The 26,229-nt window shown below is 42.9% G+C and overlaps 1 long non-coding RNA gene and 1 pseudogene across 1 annotated transcript; both read right to left on the reverse strand.

The window, feature by feature from the left end:
• Positions 1-1,114: 1,114 nt before the first annotated feature.
• On the reverse strand, positions 1,115-18,691 carry LOC101930109 (uncharacterized). The gene is made up of 4 exons (XR_927288.2): positions 18,583-18,691; positions 12,840-13,000; positions 9,315-9,401; positions 1,115-1,155 (listed from the first exon to the last, which is right to left on the reverse strand). It is a non-coding gene; the product is annotated as an uncharacterized LOC101930109 (long non-coding RNA).
• Positions 11,959-12,062, reverse strand: RNU6-1052P (RNA, U6 small nuclear 1052, pseudogene; annotated as a pseudogene).
• Positions 18,692-26,229: the final 7,538 nt, after the last annotated feature.

The raw sequence follows: 26,229 nt of genomic DNA on the forward strand, positions 1-26,229 counted from the left end.
CACTTGTCAGTTCTTCCTCCCACTTTCCTGTATCTTTAACCTATCCCCCACTTTTAGCGCCTTCCCACCATCATTTAAATTACTCAAACTTCTTCTGTTTTAAAAACCTCTCCCTCAACTCAGTGAGAGGTCTCCTGCACACCCACTGAACCACCTGCTCCCCCTGGTGACTTCTCTACAGAAGCCTGAGCCATGTCTCTAATGCATGAATCTCATCATGTTACTCCCCCATTTACATCACTTCTCCTTGCCTCGGGGATTAAGTCCAAACTCCTTAACAGCCCCCGCTCTGCCCTGCCTTGCAAGGCAGCCTCACTGCTTGCCCCTCTCCATTTCACCTGCTATGGAGTCCAACTGAGCCTCATCTACCCCCTGAATGCACACTCTTTCTCCTCTGGGAGTCTCTGAAGTGGGTGATATCCTCTGCTTATAATATGCTTCCCCTTAAACCTCTACTCTCTTCCTGGCTAGCTTCGGCTCCTCTGTCACTTGTCCGCTTTGGCATCACCTCCTCATGGAAGACTTCCTTGACTCCTCAGATTCTCAGGAGCATGGCAGGTGAGGTGCTCCTCCCATGAATGGATGGAGATTACAGAGTGTGTGTTATTCATGCTTAATTCACCAGTGCTTAGCTCAGTACCTGGCACAAGTTACTGTGGTGGCCAAAGTAATAACCCCCCACCCTGCCAACTAATTGCTCACGTCCTCTGTTACACAGCACAATTACATAGGAAGGGGGAATTAAGAGTGCAGATAAAATTAACGTTGCTCATCAGCTGACCTTAAAACAAGATTATCCTGGAGTATCTAGGAGAGCCCATGTAATTACAAGCATTCTTTAAAAGTGGAAGAGGGAGGCAGAAGGTTAAGAACCAGAGACAGTGGGCACAACGACTCATGCCTGTAATACCAATACTTTGGGAGGCCAAGGCAGGAAAATCCCTTGAGTGCAGGAGTTCAAGGTCAGCCATGGCAACATACTGTGGCCCCATTTCTACAAAAAAATAAAAACAAGATTCACTGAGTGTCATGGTGCTTACCAGCTACTGGGAAGGCTGACATGGTAGGATTGCTTGAGCCTGGGAGTTTGAGGCTACAATGAGCCATGATTGGACAACTGAACTCCATCCTGAGTGACAGGGCAAGGTCCTGTTCCTAAAGAAAAAAAGGACATTGGAATCAGGGTCCCCTCCATCCTAAGGTGGCTACAAGGCATCTCTCTCTGCAAATGAGTAAACATCATCCTCCAACTCCTCACAGAGTGAAGCAGCAGGAAAACTCCCTCACCTCATTTCTGTGCTACTTGGGAGGCCTGGACACCCAATAACCAGCACCTTGCTGATGAAACAATTAGGAAATGGCTCGAGTTGAGCTAAGGAGAATTTGGATCCTTCTTTTGGTTCTCAATAGGCAGGGTAGGGGCCAGGCATGGTGGCTCATACCTGTAATCCTTGCACTGTGGGGGGCCAAGGTGAGAGGACTGCTTGAGGCCAGCTCAAGACCAGCCTGGGCAACATAGCAAGACCTGGGTGGCATACACCTGTGGTCCCTACTACTTGGTAGGATGAGGTAGAAGGATTGATCACTTGATCCCAGGAGTTTCAGGCTGCAGTGAGCCATGATCACACCACTGCACTTCAGCCTGGGTGACAGAGCCAGACCATGTCTCAAAAAGTAAAAAAAAAAAAAAAAAAAAGAGAGAGAGAGAGGGAGAGAGACTATAGGCAGGTACCCCCATATTTGGCTAATTTTTAAATATTCTGTAGAGAGAAGGTCTTGCTAGGTTGCCCAGGCTGGTCTAAAACTCCTGGCATCAGGCTGGGCATGGTGGCTCATGCTTGTTATCCCAGCACTTTGGGAGGCTGAGGCAGGCAAATCACCTGAAGTCAGGAGTTCAAGACCAGCCTGGCCAACATGGTGAAACTCTGACTCTACTAAAAATATAAAAATAAGCCGGGCAGTAGTGGCATGTACCTGTAGTCTAAGCTACTCAGGAGGCTGAGGCAGAGGTTGCAGTGGGCCAAGATCGCACCACTGCACTCCACCCTGGGCAACAGAGTGAGACTCTGTCTTAAAAACAAAACAAAACACAACAAAACAAAAAACAAAAAAACTCCTGGCATCAAGACATCTTCCTGTCTTAGCTTCCCAATGCCCTGGGATTATATTGTTTCCTATAATTGAAGACACTCGTTCTTATACTGCTTTAAGGTATAAAGAAAAAAAAACCATATTGACAAATGTTGGTGAAGGCCGGGCATGGTGGCTCAGCCTGTAATTCCAGAACTTTGGAAGGCTGAAGTGGGCAGATCACTTGAGGCCAGGAGTATGAGACCAGCCTGGGCAACATGGTAAAATCCCATCTATAAAAATTAGCCAAGCATGGTGGCATACACCTGTAATTTTCAGCTACTCAGGAGGCTGAGATGAGAGAATCACTTGTGCCTGGGAGGTCAGGGCTGCAATGAACTGTGATGGCATCACTGTGCTGCAGCCTGAGAGACAGAGCAAGCCCCTATCTAGAAAAAAAAAAAATGTCAGTGAAGATGTGGAGGAGTTGGAACTCACATACATTACTGATGGGAACATTAAATCGTGTAACCACTTTGGGTAGTTCTGTTCTTGTCATTTTAATTGGATTTTTTTTTTTTAAATCAAGACAGGGTTTCACTATCTTGCCCAGGCTGGTCTTGAATTCATGGGCTCAATTCCTCCCAACTGAGCCTCCTGAGTAGCTGGGATTATAGGTGTGAGCCATTGCACCCAACTGGTGTAGCCACTTTAGAAAACAGTGTGGCAGTTTCTCAAAAGGCTAAATGTACAGTCATCATATAATGCAACAATTTCACTCCTAGGCATATATCCCAGAGAAATAAAAATATATGTCCACACAAAAACTTGTACAACAGTCTTCATAGCAGCATTATTCATAATGGCCAATACATGGAAACAACCCAAATGTCCACCAACTGTTGAACAGATAAAACACAGTGTGTCTCTGCCACGGAATATTGCCATAGAAGGAATGAAATATTGATACACACTATGACATAAAGGAACTTTGAAAACACTGTGCTAAGAGGGAAAAAAAGCCACAAAAGATCACATATTGTACAATTCTATTTGTCCAGATTAGGCAAATATATAGTGACGAAAAATCAATCAATGGCTGCCTAAGGCTGGGGGCCAAGGCAGGTTGGGGGAGTAGGAGGTAGTGGCTAAGGGGTATGGATATGGATTTCTCTACAGGGTAATGAAAGGTTCTAAAAGTGACTGTGGTGATTGATGCACAGCTCTGTGAATATTCTAAAACCTACTGAATTGCAGATTTCAATAAATAAAGTGAATGGTATGTGAATCATATTTTAATAAAGCTATTATTTAAAATAATAATAATGGGGGGCTGGGCACAGGTGGTCATGCCTGCCTGTAATCCCAGCACTTTGGGAGGCTGAGGCAGGAGGATCACTTGAAGTCAGGAGTTTTGAGCCCAGTCTGAGCAACCTGGCAAGATCCTGTCTCTATGATAAAAAATGAAAAAATTAGCTGGACATGGTGGCACACGTCTGTAGTCCCAGCTACTTGGGAGACTGAAGTGGGAGAACTGCTTGAGCTCAGGAGTTTGAGGCTCAGTGAACCATGATCGTGTCACTGTACTGCAGCCTGAGCAACAGAGCAAGACCCTGTCTCTGAAAAGGAAAGAAAACAAATGCAAGTTTTTACCACTTGTGAGTGTAGCCAAGTTGGAGGAGAAATAGACAAGAATAAAAGAGCACTGAATAACGAGGGTGAGTGGCTGATTAGGCTCAGTTGCTAGCTAAGTGGCTTCTAAAAAATTCATTAGTAAAGTTATAGCTCTGGGGACAGTCATGTAGTCAAAGAATGAATGCTAAATTCATTACAAAGGCCCGTGGTCTTTCTTTACATGCCTTCTAGTGAAAAATTCCTAAGTGCCTAAATAGCAAGTCTGCAACGATAGCAGCTGTTTATTAAAGACTACAAAAAAGAAATGGAGGCCCGGAGTGGTGGCTCATGTCTGTAATCCCTGCACTTTGGGAGGCTGAGGCAGGCAGATCACTTGAGTTCAGGAGTTCGAGATGAGCCTGGCCAACATGGTGAAACCCCATCTCTACTAAAAATACAAAAATCATCTGGGTGGCGGGCACCTGTAATCCCAGCTACTCAGGAGGCTGAGGCAGGAGAATTGTTTGAACCCAGAAGGCAAGGGTTGCAGTGAGCCAAAATCGCACCACTGCACTCCAGCCTGGGCGACAAGAGCAAGACTCTATCTTAAAAAAAAAAAAAAAAAAAAGGCATCTTCTTAAAGAATGACATAGTGTTTCATGATAAAGAAGCTCTAATTTTGCATTTGTTCAAGTATTGATTAGATTTAGCCAATATGACACCAATCTTGGATAAAGCGCAAACAACACAATTTCATTTTCTCACTAAAAACTGATTAGGTAGTCTAATATCAATTCTGACCTTATTAAAAACTGATCAGATTAAAAAAATTATGGAATGATGGAGCCAATAAGATGTTACAACCTGTTCCAAGGGGAATTCCAAAACCCACACATATTTGAGACCATCAAATATGATGAAATATATTTGATTACTATATTGAAAAATAAACTGATTATATAGCCAATAACAATTGGCAGGGGTCTCCTCATCCACAGCCACACAAACCCGATCACGCAGCTATGTGGTTGCAAGGCCTACATAGCCTAGAAGGGACTGGTCTGACTTGAGAATTCATTCCATTTGTATTTGTATTTTGAGACAGGGTCCCACTCTGTCACCCAGGATGGACTGCAGTGGTATAATCATAGCTCACTGCAGCCTTGACCAACTGGGCTCAAGAGATGCTCCTGCCTCAGCCGCCCCAATACCTGGGAATACAGGCAAGTACCACCATGTCAGGCTTTTTTTTTTTTTTCAATTTTTGTATAGAGAGAAGTCTTGATATGTTGCCCAAGCTGGCCTCAAACTCCTAGAATCAAGAGATCTGCCCATCTCAGCCTCCTGAGTAACTGGGGCCACAGATACACACCATCATGCCTGGCTATATTTTATTAAATTTATTTCTTTTATTTTTGTAGAGCGGTCTTGCTATGTTGCCCAGGCTGCTCTCAAACTCATGGCCTTAAAACATACTCCCATCTCTGCCTCTCAAACTGTTGGAACTATAGGTGTGAGCGACTGCACCTGGCCTGACTTGAGATTTCTTTTATCTAGCATCCTTTACTTGGTAGGATTGGGAAAGGCAGTAGTGTTTTTTAAAATTACTTAATCATTCAATTAGAATCAAACTCAACCTTGACCCCTGCCTTCTCTCACAGCTTTGGGTAATGTCAGGAAATCCTACTGACTGACTTCAATATCTATCCAGGCTCTGACCATCTCTCACCACCACCGTGCACCCGGTCAGGATCACTATCCTCTCCCACCGGGATGTTGCCACAGCTTGGCCCCCAGGCTTCTACCCAAATCTTCCCATAGTCTTCTCAACTTGGCAGCCAGGGCGTGCTTTTAAATCAGGAGACAGATCATGTCGCCTCTCGGCTCAGAAGCCCTCGGTGGTTCCCATTTTAGTCAGAGTAAAAGCCAAAGCCCCAGCAACAGTGTCCCAGGGCTTACATGATCTGTACCGATCCCAGCCCAGCAACTCCCTGGCCTCCTCACCGACTTCGCTCCCTCTATCTCTTTGCTCCACTGGCCTCCTTCCAGAGCCTCAGACACACCAGGGAATTTCCTCCTAATGCCTTTATCCTGTTGACTCAGCCTACAATGCTTTTCCCTCAGCACTTTGGCCAGCTCCATCACCTGCTTCAAACTTTTGCTCAATATTCACTTATGAGGCCAACCCTGACCACTCTACTTAACATTGCCATCTGTCCCCATTCCCACCATGCTCATTTCTTTCTTTCTTTTTGAAACAAGGTCTTGCTCTATTGCCCAGGCTGGAGTACAGTGGTGCAATCATAGCTCACAGCAACTTCAACCTCCCAGGCTTAAACAATTCTCCCACCTCAGCTTCCCTAGGAACTGAGACTACAGCTGCATGCCACAACACCTGGCTAATTTTTTTTTTTTTTTTTTGAGACAGAGTCTCGGTCGCCCAGGCTGAAGTGCAACAGCACGATCTCAGCTCACTGCAATGTCTGCCTTTCAGGTTCAAGTGATTCTCTGCCTCACCCTCCCGAGTAGCTGGGATTACACCCACCACCACACCTGGCTAATTTTTGTATTTTTAGTAGAGATGGGGTTTCACCATCTTGACCAGGCTGGTCTTGAACTTCTGACCTCGTGATCCACCTGCCTCCGCCTCCCAAAGTGCTGGGATTACAAATGTTAGCCACTGCGCCCGGCCTTTTTAAAAAAATTCTTTTAGACATGACGTCTCATTATGTTGCCCAGGCTGGCCTTAAGCTCCTGGGCTCAAGCAATCCTCCTACCTCAGCCTCCTAAAGTCCTGGGATTACAGGCATGAGCAACTGTTAACATGAAGCCCTGGCTTCATGTTCATTTTTTACTTGCTGCTACAACAAACTACCCTACATTTAGTGGCTTGAAACACCATAAATCTACCACCTTACAGTTCTAGGGGCCAGAAGCCTAACTAGGTCTATTAAGGCTAAAGTCAAGGTGTCAGAGGGGCTGCATTCCTTCTGGAAACTCTAGAGAGAATGAGCTCCTTTGCCTTTTCCAGCTTCTAGAAGCCACCCCCATTCCTTGACTCACCTTGAAGATGGCCCCTGACTCCATATTCGAGGCCAGAAGTGCAGCATCTTCAAATCTCCCTCTCTGACCTCTTCTTCCTTCACCACATCTCCTTCTCTAATTCTGACTCTCTTACCTCCTTGTTTCTCTTATAAAGATCCTTGTGATTGGTGGGCATGGGGGCTCCCATCTGTAATCCCAACACTTTGGGAGGCCAAAAATGAAGGATTGCTTGAGGCCAAGAGTTAGAGATCAGCCTGGGGAACATAGGAAGACCCCGCCTTTACAAAATTAAAATTAAAATCAGCTGGACATGGTGATGCAAGCCTGTAGTTCCAGCTACTGGAGAGGCTAAGGTGGGAGGATCACTTTAGCCTAGGAGGTCAAGGCTGCAGTGAGCTATGATCACATCACGGCACTCCAGCCTTGGTGGCAGAGTGAGACTCTGTCTCAAATATAAGAAAAGAAATACACATTTGGTCTCTGCCCCTGGTTCCTGGCATAGAGCTTCTAAAGCTCTTATGAAGTCCTTAGTGACAAAGGTAATACGAGCACTTTCTGTTTTAATATTTAGTCTTAGTCCCAGGTTCCTGACACAAGGGCCTCTAAGGTCTTTCAGATCTGTAGCATGGTAAGAATGCAAGTGGGATGCTGTTGAGCTGACAGGGTGGCTGCAAGCTCCTAGACTGCTTCAGGAGGAAGGCTGGCTGCCAGAGGAACCAACCACATTTTTTTTAAATGGAGTTTGGCTCTTGTAGCCCAAGCTGGAGTGCAATGGCACAATCTCAGCTCACTGCAACCTCCGCCTCCCATGTTCAAGCAATTCTCCTGCCTCCGCCTCCTGAGTAGCTGGAATTATAGGGATGCACCACAATGCCCAGCTAGTTTTTGTTATTTTTAGTAGAGACGGGGTTTCACCATGTTGGTCAGGCTGGTCTCAAACTCCTGACCTCAAGTGATCCACATGCCTCGGCCTCCCGAAGTGCTAGGATTACAGGCATGAGCCACCGCGCCCGGCCCCAACCACATTTTTTGAGGCTTGGAACTTTCAGCCTCACCTGCTGAACTCCAGGAGGCAAAAGGTACTGGAGATTGACTTAACTACCAATGGCCAATCAATCATGCCTCCATAAAAACCCAAATAACAGGGTTTGGAGAACCCTTGTGTTGCTGAACACAAGGAGGTGCTGGGAGGGTAGCGTGCCCAACAGAGGGCATGGAAGCTCTGTGCCCCTCCCCACTTACCTCGTCCTGTGCATCTCTTTCATTGGCTGTTCCTGAGATGGAGCCTTTACATTGAGCCAGTAATAGAAAATAAGCTGGCCAGATGCGGTGGCTCATGCCTGTAATCCCAGCACTTTGGGAGGCAGAGGTGGGCGGAATCACTTGAGCCTAGGAATTTGAGACCATCCTGGGCAACATAAGAAGACCCCATCTATACAAAAATTAAAAGAAATTAGCCAGATGTGGTGGTGGGAACCCTGTAATTCCAGCTACTTGAGAGGCTGAAGCAGGAGAATCACTTGAGCCCTGGAGGCTGAGGCTTCAATGAGCTATGACTGCACCACTGCACACCAGCCTGGACAACAGAGTGAGGCCCTGTCTCTTAAAAGAAAAGAAAAAAACCTGTTTTTCTAAGTTCTGTGAGTTGTTCTAGTAAATAATTAAACTCAAGAAGAGGGTCATGGGAAACCCTGATTTCTAACTGGTTGGTCAAAATACAAGTGACAACCTAGGACTTCCAATTGGCATCTGAAGTGAGGGTGGTCTTGTGGGACTGAGCCCCTAATCTGTGGGGTCTGCACTAACTCCAGGTATTGTCAGAATGGACTTGTGGGATACGCAGTTGGTATCCAGACAGTTGGAGAATTGGTGTAGAAACTCCACACACATATTTGGTCAGTAGTGTGTGAGTAGAGAGAAACATGAGTTCTTCTCTCACCTGTCTACCTGCTTAACTGCATAGGAAAGGCAATGTATGGTGCTCATGAACAAGGCAAGCATTAAAGTCAGACCAGACCTAACATGTGACTCAGTCTTAATACCCAGGTGAGGTTGGGCAAATCGCTCATTAACCCCAAGTCTTCATCATTTTGTGCATATAACGGGGATAACTGTGGCCCCCACCTGTTTTTGTGAGAATCAATGAAATAATATGCTTGATGTTATCGTGATCATCATACTATTTGACAAGGGCAGTGATGCATGATAACATCAAAAAATTAGAAACTGTAATGAGGTCTCTTGGGCAAAATTCCATACAAGCAAATGACCGTCTCTCCAAAGCATTCTTGCCACACTTAATTCACCATTCCCTGAACAAAATGTGCCATCTTCATTGTTCGGGTCTGTACAGTGCTGGTTTCCCTGCCTGGGCAGCTCACTCCATCCCATCCCAGCCCATTGCCCATCCCTCCACCTCCTCTTTCCCTCCCCACTCTCATACAACTCTTCCTCATCTTTCAGGACCTGGTTTCAATGTCACTTTAACTGGAAGCTTCTCTCACTCTCCAGAAGAGCTTCCACTGCACTTGATGCATGCAGTATTATTTGATCATTTTTGAGTTATAGTCCAAGTCTTTTCGTACCTGAATAACATGTTGCCCAGTCAGTCTCTCTTCCTGGATTCAGAAATCTTTCATGGTAGATCGAGCCGGAAGTGACAAAAAGACATTCTTTAAAAGAAAAAAAAAAAAGAGGGTTGACACAGACAGACGTCAGTACTTGAAAGTTTTAAATGGTATGTGAAAAACAAACAAAATTCAAGGGCTTCTAGGAGAAACGTAGGAGGGAAGGTGCTACTGGGAAATATGATGGAAGGTTAAATTTTATTTTATTTTATTTTTAGAGAAAGGGTCTTGCTCTATCGCCTAGGCTGGACTGCAGTGGTGCAATCACAGTTAACTGCAGCCTCAACCTCCAGGGCTCGAGCAATATTCCCATCTAATGTTTATTTTATTTAAGAAACACAGTCTTGCTCTTACCAAAGCTAAAGTGCAGTAGTATGATCATAGCTTACTGCAGCCTCAACCTTCTAGGCTCAAGTGATCCTTCAGTCTTAGCCTCCCCAGTAGCTGGGACTACAGGTGTGCACTGCAATGTGTAGCTCTTTTTATTTTTTAATTTTTAGTAGAGACGAAGTGTCGCTATGTTGACCAGGCTGGTGGTGATCTCCTACACTCAGGCAGTTCTCCCACCTCAGCCTTCCAAAGTGCTGGGATTACAGGTGTGAGCTGCCACACCTGGCTGAGGGGGTTAATTTTTAATTATAAAGAGCTCAAAGCAAATATTAGAAGGAGCCTAAATGCCTACAGCAGCTAACTGGTAAATTGTGATACATCCATATAATCAAATACTATGTAACCATGAAAAGGATTAAGATAGATCAATAGGTATTGGCACAAATGTCCACGAAATATGAAAATGTGAAGTGATGTTCAATCAGCCTGTATGTATCTTGAAGGATATGACCCGTTTTCTCAATAGCAATTATTTCCTGAGATAAGATTATGGGTCTAAAGAGTGAAGGAAATTTTTCACTTCTTTATTTAAAAGTATTTACTATTTTTATAATTTAATAAAAGACTAAACAGATCATTGAATTAGCACAAATTAACTCTATAAATAAATGGAAAAGACACGGACAGCCCAGGCATGGTGGCTCACGCTTATAATACCAGTACTTTGGGACGGGGCGTTGGGGGGATTGCTTGAGGCCAGGAGTTCCAGACCAGCCTAAGAAACAAAGCAAGACCTCGTCTCTACTAAAAATTAAAAAAATATTGGCCAGGCATGGTGGCATATGCCTATAGTCCCAACTACTGAGGTGGAAGGATCACCTGAGCCCAGGAGGTCAAGGCTGCAGTGAGTTGAGACTGTGCCACTACACTCAAGCCTGGGAGACAGAGCGAGACTTCATCTCAAAAAAAAAAAAAAAAAAAAAGACAATAAAGAAATAAAGCTAATAAGCTAACATAAGGAAAGATAAAACATGTGACAAATAGGCCGGGCGCGTGGCTCACGCTTGTAATCCAGCACTTTGGGAGGCTGAGGTGGGTAGATCACGAGGTCAGGAGTTCGAGACCAGCCTGATCAACATGGTGAAACCCCGTCTGTACTAAAAATACAAAAATTAGCATGCTGCTATAAAGACATATGCACATGTATGTTTACTGTGGCACTATTCACAATAGCAAAGACTTGGAACCAACCCAAATGTCCAACAATGACAGACTGGATTAAGAAAATGTGGCACATATACACCATGGAATACTATGCAGCCATAAAAAATGATGAGTTCATGTCCTTTGTAGGGACATGGATGAAGCTGGAAACCATCATTCTCAGCAAACTATTGCAAGGACAAAAAACCAAACACTTCATGTTCTCACTCATAGGTGGGAATTGAACAATGAGAACACATGGACACAGGAAGGAGAACATCACACACCGGGGACTGTTGTGGGGTTGGGGAAGGGGGAGGGATACCATTAGGAGATATACCTAATGCTAAATGACAAGTTAATGGGTGCAGCACACCAACATGGCACACATATACATATGTTAACAAACCTGCACATTGTGCACATGTACCCTAAAACTTAAAGTATAAAAAAAAAAAATTAGCTGGGCGTGGTGCTGTGCACCTGTAATCCCAGCTACTCAGGAGGCTGAGGCAGGAGAATCACTTGAACCTGGGAGGCAGAGGTTGCAGTAAGCTGAGATCACACCACTGCACTCCAGCCTGGGTGACACAGCGAGACTGTCTCTCAAAAAGGAAAAAAAAAAAGTGACAAAGTAATATGAGGTCTTTTATTTATCACACAGAAAATAACTTGTTAAATTATAATACCTGTGCCAGCGAAGGTGCAGTGAAATGGCCATTTTCTTGTAGTATTAGTGGTGTTTAAATTGTATACAAGCCTTCCAGGATAAAGCTTGGAAATTTTTTTTAAATAACACAGACAGTGACTGATTATACTGCCTCCTCCACCTCCTGGCCTCAAGCAATCCTCCCACCTCAGCCTCCCAAAGTGCTGGAATTACAGGCTGACAGCCACCATGCCTGAAAGCTCGGCAATTTACATCAAGGGTAGTAAGAATGCTCATACCCTGCGACTCACAGTAATCTCACTTCTGAAAATATCATCTTTGGATATAATTCAACCTAAACAAAAGGTCATATGCACAAATACAGTGAAAATCTGGGAGTAATTTTTTTCTCTTTTTAAAAAAAATATGGAATGCTTCACAAATTTGCATGTCATTCTTTCAGAGAGGCCATGCCAATCTCTCTATTGTTCCAACTTAAGTATGTGTGCTACTGGAGCAAGCATGAGTAATTTAAGATAGAGTGGTTAAGTGAAATAAGGAAGAGTTACAGAGAATTTAAAAATCTATGGTATTTATAGGCACCTAGTAACAGCTCAGTAAATATTAGCTGCTACTATTGTTATTTTTATGGTAATTTCACTAAATTAAAAATTGTTTTTAAAAGCTACCATTGTCATGGAATGTAATGTATCCTACAGTATAATTGTAAAAATAGATACAATTTGTCCCTTGGTATATGGGGGGATTAATTCCAGCTCCCCCATTTCTGTGTATACCAAAATCCACGCATACTCAAGTTTTTGAAGTCAGTCCTGTGGAATCCACATGTAAAAAAAAATGCGAAAATTAGTGAGGTGTGGTGACAAGTACCTGTAGTCCCAGCTACTTGTGAGGCTGAGGAAGGAGGACTGCTTGAGCCCAGGAGGTTGAGGCTGCAGTGAGCCATAACTGCACCACTGCAGTCCAGTCTGGGGAACAGAGTGAGACAGAAGGTTGACTTTTTAATCAAATTTTTCTGTTCACTTGAAGATATGGTCAGGACTGTGGCATACGAAAATTCTTCATAAAATAACTGTCTAATCCAATTAATGCTGGAATTAGGGACAGAAAATGTTTTGCTGACTATTTATTCCTTCACTTGCTGTTATATAAACTATTGCCAGTGGGCACTTACCAACCAGAAGTGTCATCTCAGAGCTACTCACAATGAAAGGTGATCTCTGGGGCTCAGATGTGTTGAGGTCCCCATGCCTGGGCTATGGGTGCTGAGTGGGACTTACTTGTCTATCCATTTTATATATTCCAGCACTGGGAAACTAGGGTTTATCCATCTTGATAAGATGTCATTTAAATTCCACTTGGCAAGAACCACAAATGGAAGAAAGGCCATGAAACCACAGTACAGTACTTGTTCTCAAGGGAATCTTCAGCTTAGGTGACTCTGTAAAAGAGAAATTACACTGTTGAAAAATCATCGCAGGTCAGTTGAGGTGGCTCATACCTATAATCCCAGCCCACTGGGAGACTAAGGCAGGAGGATCCCCTGAGGCCAGGAGTTCCAGACCAGCCTGGGCAACACAGTGAAACCTCAAAAAATCTCTACAAAAAATTAGAAAATGAGCTGGGTGTGGTAACACATTCCTATAGTCCCAGCTACTCTGGAGTCTGCAATAGGAGGATCGCTTGAGCCCAGGAAGTGGAAGCTGCAGTGAGCTCTGATCTCACCACTGCACTCCAGCCTGGGTGACAGAGTGAGACCCTGTCTCAACATACACACACCCACACACACCCTCATCTCAGTCTGTCCAGCCTTGACTAATCAAAAGGGTCTTCTGGTTACAGAAGAGGTATGCTCTTTTGTAGGACAGGGAGAGACCAGCAAGCTTGTTCACAGACTTTTCCTCATCCTTTGCTTAGTTTTCCAAGAACCCTCATAGTGGAAACAGAGTCCCTGGGAAAACGACCTAAATCTTTAGGTTACCAGAAGAGAAATATGCCTCCTTTGTCAATTAATAAATGGAACACTTGCCTTAAAATCCGGGGAGTTCTGCTAGAATGAATCACTCCCTAAGACCCTGACCTATGCAGGGAACATGAAAAACTGGAGTTTAACTGGGCACAGTGGATCACGCCTGTAATCCCAGCACTTTGGGAGGCCGAGGCAGGTGGATCACCAGAGGTCAAACCTGGCCAACATGGTGAAACCCCGTCTCTACTAAAAATACAAAAATTAGCTGGGCGTGGTGGTGGACGCCTGTAATCCCAGCTACTTGGGAGGCTGAGGCAGGAAAATTGCTTGAATCTGGAAGGCAGAGATTGCAGTTACTTCTAGAAGAATTTCCATTAGCCATTTGAAATCCTTCAACATTCATTAAGGCCAAAGAGTTTTCACCTAATTTAATCTGATGGGTATGTGACCAGAGTCTTTCTAGGGAATAGAGACTCCCAAACTGTTCAGCTGGGAAGTGAGGAGAGAATTTATTACTCAAAATCAAAGGGAAATGAAAAGAGGCCAATCTAGAATGTCATTATTCTTTTTTCGGGGGGAATGGATTCCAGAGTCATTTTGTGACCTTTACATGACCTCCTTATTAGCACCTAAAAGCTTCCAGTATAGGATGCAGCCAGCTAGGTTCTCTTCTAATGTAATAAAATCTGCTTCAGCAAAGCTTATGCAGAGCCATCTCCAGACTCCAGAAATAATAAGCTATAAATTACTGGATCTCCCATTTGATATAATGAAGTATAAGCACAGTCCTGAATGACTCCTCTACATACTACTCTGGGTGGCTTGAAGTGAATTTGATACAAGAACTGGAGTGAGCGCAAAGCAGAGCTAGATCTAGGATTAATGCTCTTGGGCCCAGCTGCTCACTACTCACCGATGAGTCCAGTTCCAGAACCCAAGTAGAGGGTGGGGAAACAAGGCTCCTGGCATTTCCTAATGTCTGCATCTCTTTCACATTTCTTGTCTCCTTGCAAAGAAACTAAACAGGCTCAACTGAAATAACTAAATGATTAAACCCTATGCAGAGAATCTCCAAAGATTCACAAAATATCATTCAAGACTGTTACACAGACAACCATGAGGATGACTTGATGTACCAGTGATCTACAATATTTGGGATCATTCCAAATTCCCATCAAGGATCTGCCTATATCAACACGGGAGCCAAGGACCAACCACTCAAATGGGCCCTGCTGCCAAGCCTTTTTTTTTTTTTTTTTTTAACAATGCCATCTCTTCATATTGTTCTGTTTAACAAAACTGCAGCCTGTCACCCATCCTTAAATCCCTTGGCCAGTGGCACAGAGCCAGAGTATGCTACTCCCTAGCAGGAAATCAACAGGATGACCTACTAAACACCATTCAGAAGATGCTAAGACCCATGAATTGCAACAGGAAAGAGAATTAGTCAGGCAGGTACATGCTGTGCCAAAAATGCACTACAACCCCCACCCAATTCTGCCTAATCCTAGCTAGGCTGACACCAACCTGATGAGACAGGCCTATAAGATCTCAAACTAAAACAGAAACTCTTGAACCGGGTTCTTGCGAACCCAGAAAGCAGCAGTAAACCATTAAAGAACAGATAAGTTCTTGAGGTGAAGGAGAGTTTCAGATAAATGGAATGCTGGTAGAACACAGGGCTCAAAGGAGCAAAAGTTAACTTAAGCCTAGGTAGAACCTTGTTTACTAGAGTATTAGGCATGGGTTGTGACAACTATTCTAACCAAAGAGGCTCCACTGAGGGCGGGTTGGCAATCCAAGGTATAGCATGCATAGGGCTGGTGAAATTCAGGGTGACTGAAACAAAAGCTTCAGAACCAGGAAGACCACATCTGGGGGTAGAGCACAAAACTCTGAAGAGATGAATCTTTGTAAGAGTGAAGCAAACTATATAGCAGTTTTAGGAGATCTGTTGGTGCCCAGCAAGAGCTCCAAACAGGCTATATGCAGGGATGCAGGCTGTAGTTTCAGGAGAGAAGGTTCACAAAAGTCATTCAGTCCAAGATCCCAAACTGCGTTCTCTACTAAAAGGAATCAAGGTCCCCTAGAGAAATGGCTGACTCCATGTATGGTACAGTATATTGATCCTGGAACATCTTTTTTGCCAGAAAGCAAGGAAGCCATCAAAGTCCAACAGGATCACATCAAAAAGACGTAAGAGTCAACTTGAAGAGATAATTATTAACCTAGATGAGACAACGTAAGCATCCAAAACAATAAAGACTGCAATGGCCTGAAATACATCAAATGCAAACAATAATCTATGAGTTCATAATGGCATTCAGAAAAAAAAAACTATTGGTCACTAGAATGAAGGTTAGTAGGTCACCAACTTATTACTCTGAAAAGTGACTTAAAATGAGAGGTAAGGTGGAGAATTAGCTATTTATTCAGTTTTTTCTGTACAAACATAAATTTTTAGGGAGATTGAAGCAGATGAAACAAATCTGGAAAAATGGAGATAACTGCTTAATCTGCGGGTTGGGTACATGAAGGTTCATCATATTTCTTTTGTGTATATTTGAACTCCCTACAAAAAAAAAGCACAAGACAGAATGTGAGCCAAGCAGCTTAGGGTTTAGGCAAGGCTTCTGCCTACAAGAGACACTAGGATATGAGGGGTAGTTTTAGCCCTGATGGGCTGAGCCAACTGGAGGTATATAAGGAGGTGCTAAATTGCAGAGGTATCATGTTGCCCAGCACTTGATCAAATCCTAGATCCTAGGTCTGCTTGGTAGTATGCTTCCTAGATGGTGGATCTGAGGCTACCTACAGAACTTCCTTTGCAGTCATAATTCACTCAGAAACTACAAAAGTGCTTGCTCTTGAAAATGGAGCCTGTCTTTGTCCATTTCATGCTGCTATAAAAGAATGCTGCAGACTGCATAATTTACAAGAAAGAAAAAAGGAAGGAGGGAAGGAGGGTAGGAGGAAAGGAAGGGAATGAATGGAAGGAAGGGAAGGAAAGGAAGGAAGGAAGGGAAGGAAGGGAAAGAGGGAAAGAGGGAAGGAGGAAGGGAGGGAAGGAGGTAGGGAGAGAGAGAGGGAGGGAGGGGAAGGGAAGGGAGGAGCAGGGAAAGGAGGAAGAAAAGGAAAGGAAAGAAAAGAAAAGGTAAGGAACAAATTTTATTTCTTACAGTTCTGGATGTTAGGAAGTCCAAGGTTGAGAGGCCTGCATCTGGCAGGGATCTTCTTGCTGTGTAGAGGAAGACTATCTTCCTCTACACATCATCTCACGACAGAAGGCAGGACAAGAGAGTGCAAGAAAGCAAGAGGGCAAAAGGGGCTGAACTCTCTTTTATAATAAGCCCACTCTGTGATTACTAATCTGTTACCACAATAACAACATTAACTCATTCATGAGGGCTCTCTTATTAGGCCTCACATCCCAACTGTTGCATTGAGGACTGAGTTTCCAGCACATAAACTTTGGGGGACACATTTAAACCATAGCAGAGCACTTATGTTAATTCAACCAAGAGGAGCTGGGAAAATCAAAGGCATGAGAAAGACAACAAATGCTGGCAGAGAAATACGTGCAGGTTAAGGAAAAAAGTCACAATGAATCCTGTAGTGCAGGCTACTTCATCAAAAGCACCTAAAAAGGATCTCATTAACTCCCCCAACTCACCTCCACCCACGTCTAAAGGGCCACACACAGCACTACCAAAGGCAGTACAATGAGAACAGCATTCTCCTCAACAGACTGTTGAGGAGTACCCAGACACCTGACCTCAACAGCTCCAGAACAGCCCTAAAACAGCTCCTCCCTAACCACCACTCAAGTCACCAGCTGGGAAAATATTCAGAAAACCCAAATCCTGACACACCACTATGAAACAACTTAAACAGCAAATAACAACCCATTTAAACAGCAATGTCAGCAGCTGGGAAAAAAAGGAACAATGAGTAGAGGAAAAGCAGACCTCTTGGGGTCCAATAAGACCCAGTCTCTCAGCTTCAGCACTTTCAAATACAGAATCCATACACCTCTGGGGCCTGTGGAGCTCCACGAGGCATGTTGTCCTCAAAGATAAATGAGCAGGCAAGCTGGCTAGAAAACCACTAAGGGTATTATTCTTTAAAGAATCTTTATAGGGTCAAAGAGTAATGGGTCTTACAGGTGTTGTGTATTCCCCACAGATTCTGAGGATGATGTCAGTATCCCTTTCCAGATGTGTTTAACACTTTGTGGTCGCTTGTATTCCTGCCACTGAGTGCCAGTGCTTTGCTAATTTGAACTGATTCCAACTCACGCTGACCCTGGCTCCCTGGATCTGGTTACCATTAGCCAAGACTGTCATCCATACTGTACCCTTTTAAAGAGTCCTAAAAACAACTCTTCACCTACTCTTCCAAGACAAGTAAAAACGTCTACCAAAGAAATGGGGAAAAAAGATTGAGAGAGAGAAAACAATTAACATACTAACAAGACAGTAGAAAGAGAAGCGGGAGGAGAAACTAGGAAAATCATATGTGGGCTCACACCTATTTCCAAAGCTGGACTAACATCCTTTTGCTTGTGTCTGAATAAGGCATAAATTTTAAGCTGCTAATGAAAAAAAAGAAAAAGAGAAAGAAGCAGGCCCAGGCCGGGCGTGGTGGCTCACGCCTGTAATCCTAGCACTTTGGGAGGTCGAGGCGGGTGGATCACCCAAGGTCAGGAGTTCGAGACAAGCCTGGTCAACATGGTGAAACACCATCTCTACTAAAAATACAAAAAATTAGCTGGGCATGGTGGCGCATGCCTGTAAATCCAGCTACTCGGGAGGCTGAGCAGGAGAATAGCTTGAACCCGGAAGGCAGAGAGAATGTGATGACCTGAGATCACGCCATTGCCCTCAAGCCAGGGCAATGACAGCAAAATTCAGTCAAAAAAAAAAAAAAAACATAAAATAACTCAGACTTCATTAAATACAACCCTAGTGGCAAATGACTATTGGTCAACAGTAAAAAAAGATGGATTACTCAGAACAGAGATTAAGAGTCCAATAAGAATCCAAGAATCTTACCTTTAAATAACGAAATAAATCCTTTCCTTTGAAAGTAATATCCTCTTAAGGCCAGGAATTCCATTAGTAGACAGCCTTCTTAAAAAAAAAATTCCTGGCCGGGCATGGGTTCACACTTGTAATCCCAGTACTTTGGGAAGGTGAGGCAGGAGGATCACCTGAGGTCAGGAGTTCGAGACCAGCCTGGCCAACATGGTGAAACCCCATCTCCACTAAAAATACAAAAATTAGCCTGATGTGGTGGTGGGCACCTATAATCCCAGCAACCTGGGAGGCTAAGGCAGGAGAATCGCTTGAACCCAGGAGGCAGAGGTTGCAGTGAGCCAAGGTCGTGCCATTGCACTCCAGCCTGGGCGACAAGAGTAAAAACTCTGTCTCAAAAAAAAAACAAAACAAAAAAAACAAAACAAAAAAAACAACCTCCTTTGGGAAGAGCTTCTACGTAAAAATCTTCAACATGAGACTGGAAAAAAGGGTATGGGACCATCCCTGGACCTTTGGCTTTTACAGCTGGAGCTGTAAGAACAAAAAGAAAAAGGGATATCATTTAACCACAATATATAGAAAAGAATAATTATTGGTCTTTAACTTTTACGCTTTGATCTTTAATTCTGTTATTGTAATTGAGTGCAAAGAAAAATAGTATGAGTGAAGTAGAACACCAAAAATGCTAATATTCTGTTTATCAAAGTCTGTAGTGAAATATCCCATTAAATCCAAGTGCAGTGACTCACACCCATAATCCCAGCACTTTGGGGAGGCTGAGGCAGGTGAATCTCCTGAGGTCAGGAGTTCGAGGCCAGCCTGGTCAACATGGTGAAACCCCAATCTACTACAAATACAAAAATTAGGCAGGCGTGGTGGCAGGGGCCTGTAATCCCAGCTACTTAGGAGGCTGAGGCAGGGAGAATTGCTTTGAACCCAGGAGGTAAGCTTGCCATGAGCTGAGATCACACCTGCACTCCAGTGTGGGCGACAGAACAAAACTCCATCTTACCAAAAAAAAAAAAAAAAAAAAAAGAACAGCTAGTAGGTGACATTTGCTATGGGGAGACTAGGAGTGATATGATCTTGTTGCAATCCTTCCATTTTAGTAAATCTAAACAGTGTGAATCCATTCTGTTTCATCCCCACTCCACTCCAGAGCCAAAACAAGAAAATCAATTATGTTTATATTTCTTTAAAAACATATCTAACTAAATCATCTAATTAAAAGACAATATGCATGGCTCCATACTCTAAAAGAAAACTTACGTCCTGCGTATCATGGACATTTGATGAATACTTGTTCAGTTGACTGGTGTAGACTTCAATAATAACCTGTTCGATGCATTATGCCAGATAAATCTTGCGTCTCAAAAGTAGGACAAATATTGTTCTTTCAGTTTTGTCTACCCAAAATGCAATATTTACATGTATTTATAATAGGTTAATAAAAAGAAAATGAGTTTATTGTTCTAGAGAGTATGAGAATTTGAAAACATGAATTCTCCTGTCCTGGCACATAATTAACACTTAGAGGTATATTATTTCATGTGGAGGGTACCATTAAAAGAATTCAATGTTAAACCTTAAATAATTATTTCACATAATCTTCTAATCTGACTTAAGACTGAAGACCTATCTCCTGAAGCTGTTTCATCAAGTTGTAAATTTTCACCTGTTGAATTCACAAGTTCATGTCTGAAAGGTGAGAATACTTAATATTCACTAGGCAATATTCACCAAATAATATCTACTAGTACATATTTAACATTTCATCACCAAGGGTGGTTGTGCTAAGAAAAGACAGGCTGGGCACGGTGGCTGACACCTTTAATCCCAGCACTTTGGAAGGCCGAGGCAGGCAGATTACGAGGTCAGGAGTTCGAGGCCAGCCTGGCCAACATGGTGAAAGCCTGTCTCTACCAAAAATAGAAAAATTAGCCAGGCATGGTGGCAGGCACCTGTAATCCCAGCTACTCAGGAGGCTGAGGCAGGAGAATTGCCTAAATCCAGGAGGTGGAGGTTGCAGAAACCACAATCACGCCACTGCATTCCAGCCTGGGCGAAAGAGCAAGATTCTGTCTCAATCAATCAATCAATCAACCAATCAATCAATAAAAATATAAGGAGAAAGCATTTACTGTGTATTTATATGCCCAGTATTACGTGAAGCACTTTACTATCTTATCAAATCTTCGGGATAGATCTTCAGTTCTCCTGACCACAAAAGAGGACACTAAAGTTCAGACATGAGAAGAGACATGGCCAACCTGTGTCCCCAGGGCCTACAGTCTTACCACTAGGTTACAGTGTTTCCAGTTATCACATGTTGTGAGATTTTTGCTTTAAAATAAAACAAAAAGAACCAAAGGCGAAAAAGGCATAAGCTATTAAAAAGTGGGAGAAACACTAAGAGAACCTTAAGCACATTACTAAAAATATTATGGAAATGTTATTGAATTCATTAGCAAATTTAATTCTAGATTTTCACTGAGGAGTAGGTTATATTACTCATGATGAAGAAAAAATGTTCAATATGGTTTATCATGCTTAAACGTTCACTTAAAGCAATTCAGTTAAAATTCTGCAAATCATACAATTTTATAGTTTGCTAGTAGGTTACAAGTAAATAGTCATCCAAATAAAAACAGTAAAACACATGATGTTTTCCACTGGTTGTTGCTCTTTTTAGGTGAGCATTTGATATATACCAATAGACAAAGGATAATAACAAATTGCTAATTTCTTTCATCATTATATAAAGGTGGCTTAAGGACAGAATAGTATAAGGGCAATGATGAATTTGAAATCTAACGTCAACTCAGTAATGCATCAAGATAAAAGTAGAGACGACAGGGGCACCTTGGTGCACTGAATTTTTATTTATTTATTTATTTATTTATTTTGAGATGGAGTTTTGCTCTTTTTGCCCAAGCTAGAGTGCAATGGTGCAATCTCGGCTCACTGCAACCTCTGCCTCCCAAGTTCAAGTGATTCTCCTGCCTCAGCCTCCCGAGTAGCTGGGATTACAGACATGCGCCACCATGCCCGTCTAATTTTGTATTTTTAGTAGAGATGGGGTTTCTCCATGTTGGTCAGGCTGGTCTCGAACCCCCGACCTAGATATCTGCCTGCCTCGGCCTCCCAAAGTGCTGGGATTACAGGCGTGAGCCACTGCACCCAGCGTATTTTAAGTATTTTTATCTTCCACTTTTTAATTTATCTGGGTCCAACGAATTCCAAATTTAACAAAGCAGACTAAGAGAAACAATTCATTAAAAAAAATAATATTTGGCCAGGCACAGTGGCTCACGCCTGTAATCTCAGCACTTTGGGAGGCCAAGGCGGGTGGATCAGGAGGTCAGGAGTTCAAGACCAGCCTGGCCAAGATCGTGATACCCTGTCTCTACTGAAAATATAAAAATCAGCCAGGCGTGGTGGCTGGCGCCTGTAATTCCAGGTGCTCAGGACCCGGGAGGCTGAGGTTGCGGTGAGCCGAGATCGTGCCACTGCACTCCAGCCTGGGCAACAGAGCAAGGCTCTGTCTCAAAAAAAAAAAAAAAAAAAAAAAAAATTCTTAAGGGAGTTACAAACACAAAAATGAAGGAAAGAATAGCTGCTATCACAAAACCAGATTTAAGTCCATAGCCCACAGATCCTACACAGCAATTACACAATGGAGAACACAGAGCAACCAGCTAACAATATCGCGACAGGATCAAAATCTCATATACCAGTGTTAATCTCAAATTAAATGGTCTAAATGCTCCACTCAGAAGTCAGGGTGGTTAAGTTGAATACAAAAACGAAAACCAGCCACTGCTTGTCTTCAAAACCCATCTCACATGTAATACCATGCAAAGGCTCAGTGTAAAGGAATGAAGAAGGATCCATCATGCAAATAAAATGGAAGAGTAAAGGTTGCCATTCTTTTCTTCTTTCTTTCTTTCTTTTTTTTGAGATGCAGTCTTGCTCTGTCGCCCAGGCTGGAGTGCAGCGGTGTGATCTCGGCTCACTGTAAGCTCTGCCTCCGGGTTCAAGTGATTCTCCTGCCTCAGCCTCCCAAGTAGCTACTTTTTGTATTTTTAGTAGAGACGGGCTTTCACCGTGTTAGCCAGGATGGTCTCAATCTCCTGACCTCACGATCCGCCCACCTCGGCCTCCCAAAGTGCTGGGATTACAGGCGTGAGCCACCAAGCCCAGCCGCTATTCTTATATCAGATAAAACAGACTTTAAATCAACAACAGTAAAAAAAGACAAAGACGAGCATTACATAATGATAAAAGACTCAATTCAACAGGAAGACTTCATTATCTTAAATATATACACACCCAACATTGGAGCACTCAGATTCATAAAACAGTACTTCTAGACCCATGAAAAAGTTTAGACAGCCACATAATAATAGGCAACTTCAACACCTCGCTGACAGCATTAGACAAACCACTGAGACAAAACCTACAAAGAAATTCTGGACTTAAATTTGACTCTTGATCAATCAGGCCTAATAGACATCTATAGAATACTCTATCCCAAAATCACAGAACATACTTTCTTCTCATGTGCACATGGAACATACTCTAAGGTCAACCACATGCTTGGCCATAAGCAAGTCTCCATAAATTTAAAAATAAAATAAAATCATACCAAGCACACTCTTGGATTACACTGCAATAAAAACATATCAATACTGAGATATCTCAAAACTACAGAATTACATGGAAGTTAAAAAATGTGCTCCTGAATGACTTTTGGGTAAACAATGAAATTAAATCAGAAACAAAAAATCTTCAAAATAAATAAAAACAGAGACACAACATATCAAAACCTCTGGGATATTGCAAAAGCAGTGTTAAGAGGAAAGTTTACAGTGTTAAGTGCACATGCCAATAAGTTAGAATGATCTGAAATTAACAATCTGACATTACGCTTGGAGGAACCAAAAAACAAGAAAATAACCCCAAAGCTAGCAGAGGAAAAGAATTAACTAAAATCAGAGCAGAAATGAATGACACTGAAACCCCAAAACCCACACAAAGGATAAACAAAAATTGATTCCTTGAAAGAATAAAAAAGATTGATAGACTTCTAATTGGATTAACCAAAAGTGAGAATATTTAAATAAGCACCATCAGATATGACACAGATGACATTACAACCGATCCAACAGAAATAAAATAGATCCTCAGAGACTTTTATGAACACCTCCATGCACACAAATTAGAATTTCTACAGGAAAACAGATAAATTCCTGGAAACACAAAAATTTTCAAGACTGAACCAGGAAGAAACTGAAATCATGAACAGACCAGTAACAAGTTCTGAAATTGAAGCAATAATAAAAAACCTACTAACCAAAATAAGGCCTGGACCAGATGGATTCACAGCTGAATCAGAACCAAAGCTGTTCTCAATCCTATGGAAACTCTTCCAAAATATTGACGAGGAGGGACCCCTCCCTAATTCAGGAGTTGGAGACCACCTGGACAACATGGCAAAACCCTGTCTCTACAAAAAAATACAAAAATTAGCTAGGCGTGCTAGCATACACATGTTGTCCCAGCTACTTGGGGGGCTGAGGCAGGAGGATCACTTGAGCCCAAGAGGTTGAGGCTGCAGTGAGTTGTGTTTGCACCACTGCACTCTAGCCTGAGAAACAAAGTAAGACCCTGTCTCAAAAAACAAAACAAAACACAAAGCTAAAATTGACAAATGGAACTTAATTAAAGAGCTTCTGTACATCAAAAGAAACTATTAACAGAATAAAAAGACAACCTACAGATGGGAGATTTTTGCAAAGTATGCCTCTGACAAAGGACTAATGATAAGGAACAAACAAATTTACAAGAAAAAAACAACCCCATAAAACAGTGGGCCAAGGACATGAACAGATATTCCTCAAAAGAAGACATACATGCATCTAGTAAGCACATTTTTAAAAAAGATTCCTATCATTAATCATTAGAGAAATGCAAATCAAAACCATGAGAGACTAACCCACACCAGTTGGAATGGCAATTAGTCAAAAATATTTAGTAACAGATGCTGGTGAGGTTGTACAGAAAAGGGAACACTTATACACTGCTGGTGGGAATGTAAATTAGTTCAGCCACTGTGAAAAGACGTTTGGTGATTTCCCAAACAACTTAAAACTGAACTACCATTCTACCCAGAAATCTCAATATTGGGTATATACCCAAAGGAATATAAATCATTCTACCAAAAAGACACATGCACTTGTATGTTTATCGCCACACTATTCACAATAGCAAAGACATGGAGTCAACCAGGAGCCCATCAAAGGTGGATTGGATAAAGGAAACATGGTACGTTCACACCATGTTACACTATATAGCCACAAAAAGAACAAAATCATGTACTTCGCAGCAACATGGATTTAGCTGGAAGCCATTATCCTACACAAACTAATGCAGGAACAGAAAACCAAATACTACATGTTCTCACTTAGAACTGGGAGCCAACCACTGGGTACACATGGACAAAAAGATGAGAACAGCAGACACTGAAGACTACAAGAAGGGGAAGGATGGGAGGCGAACCAGTGTCAAAAATGACCTATTGAGTAGTAAATACTTGCTACCTGGGTGACAGGGTCAATCATACCCCAAACCTCAGCATTATGCAATATACCTTTGTAAAAACATCTGCACATGTACCCCCTGAATCTAAAATAAAAGAAAGAAAAAGAATAAACAAAATGCTTTTTAAAACTTGCCAAAGAAGCCGGGCGCAGTGGCACACTTCTGTAATCCCAGCACTTTGGGAGGCGGGGCGGGCGGATCACGAGGTCAGGACATTGAGACCATCCTGGCTAACACGGTGAAACCCTGTCTCTATTAAAAATACAAAAAAGTTAGCCAGGAGTGGTGGCGGGCGCCTGTAGTCCCAACTACTCGGGAGGCTGAGGCAGGAGAATGGCGTGAATCCGGCAGGTGGAGCTTGCAGTGAGCGGAGATCGCGCCACTGCACTCCAGCCTAGGCAACACAGAGAGGCTCCGTTTCCAAAGCAAAACAAACAAAAAAAAAACTTGCCAAAAAATAGAAAAACAATCCTAAAATTCACATGGAAGCAAAAAAAAAAAAAAAAAAAACCCAGACTAGTCCGCCTACTCATGAGGAAAAAGAGCAAAGCTGGAGGCATCACTTCTACCTGACTTCAAAATACATTAGGAGGGGCCGGGTGCGGTGGCTCACACCTGTAATCCCAGTACTGTGGGAGGCCAAGGCGGGCAGATCACGAGGTCAGGAGATCGAGGCCATCTTGGCTAACACGGTGAAACCCTGTCTCTATTAAAATACAAAAAAATTAGCCGGGCGTGGTGGCGGGCGCCCATAGTCCCAGCTACTCGGGAGTCTGAGGCAGGAGAATGGCGTGAACCCGGGAGGCGGAGCTTGCACTCAGTAAGCAGAGATCGCGCCACTGCACTCCAGCCCGGGTGACAGAGCGAGACTCCCTCTCAACAACAACAACAACAATAACAAAAAATTACAAGGTATAGTGACTAAAACATGGATTGTTATAAAAACAGATACACAGACCAATGGAACAGAATAGAGAACCCAGAAATAAATCTACATATTTACAGGCACATGATTCTTGACAAAGGTGTCAAAGGTGTCAACAACATAACATTGGCAAA

The sequence above is a fragment of the Homo sapiens genome, chromosome 7 (assembly GCF_000001405.40).
Source record: "Homo sapiens chromosome 7, GRCh38.p14 Primary Assembly".
In the NCBI taxonomy this organism is placed as follows: Eukaryota; Metazoa; Chordata; class Mammalia; order Primates; family Hominidae; genus Homo; species Homo sapiens.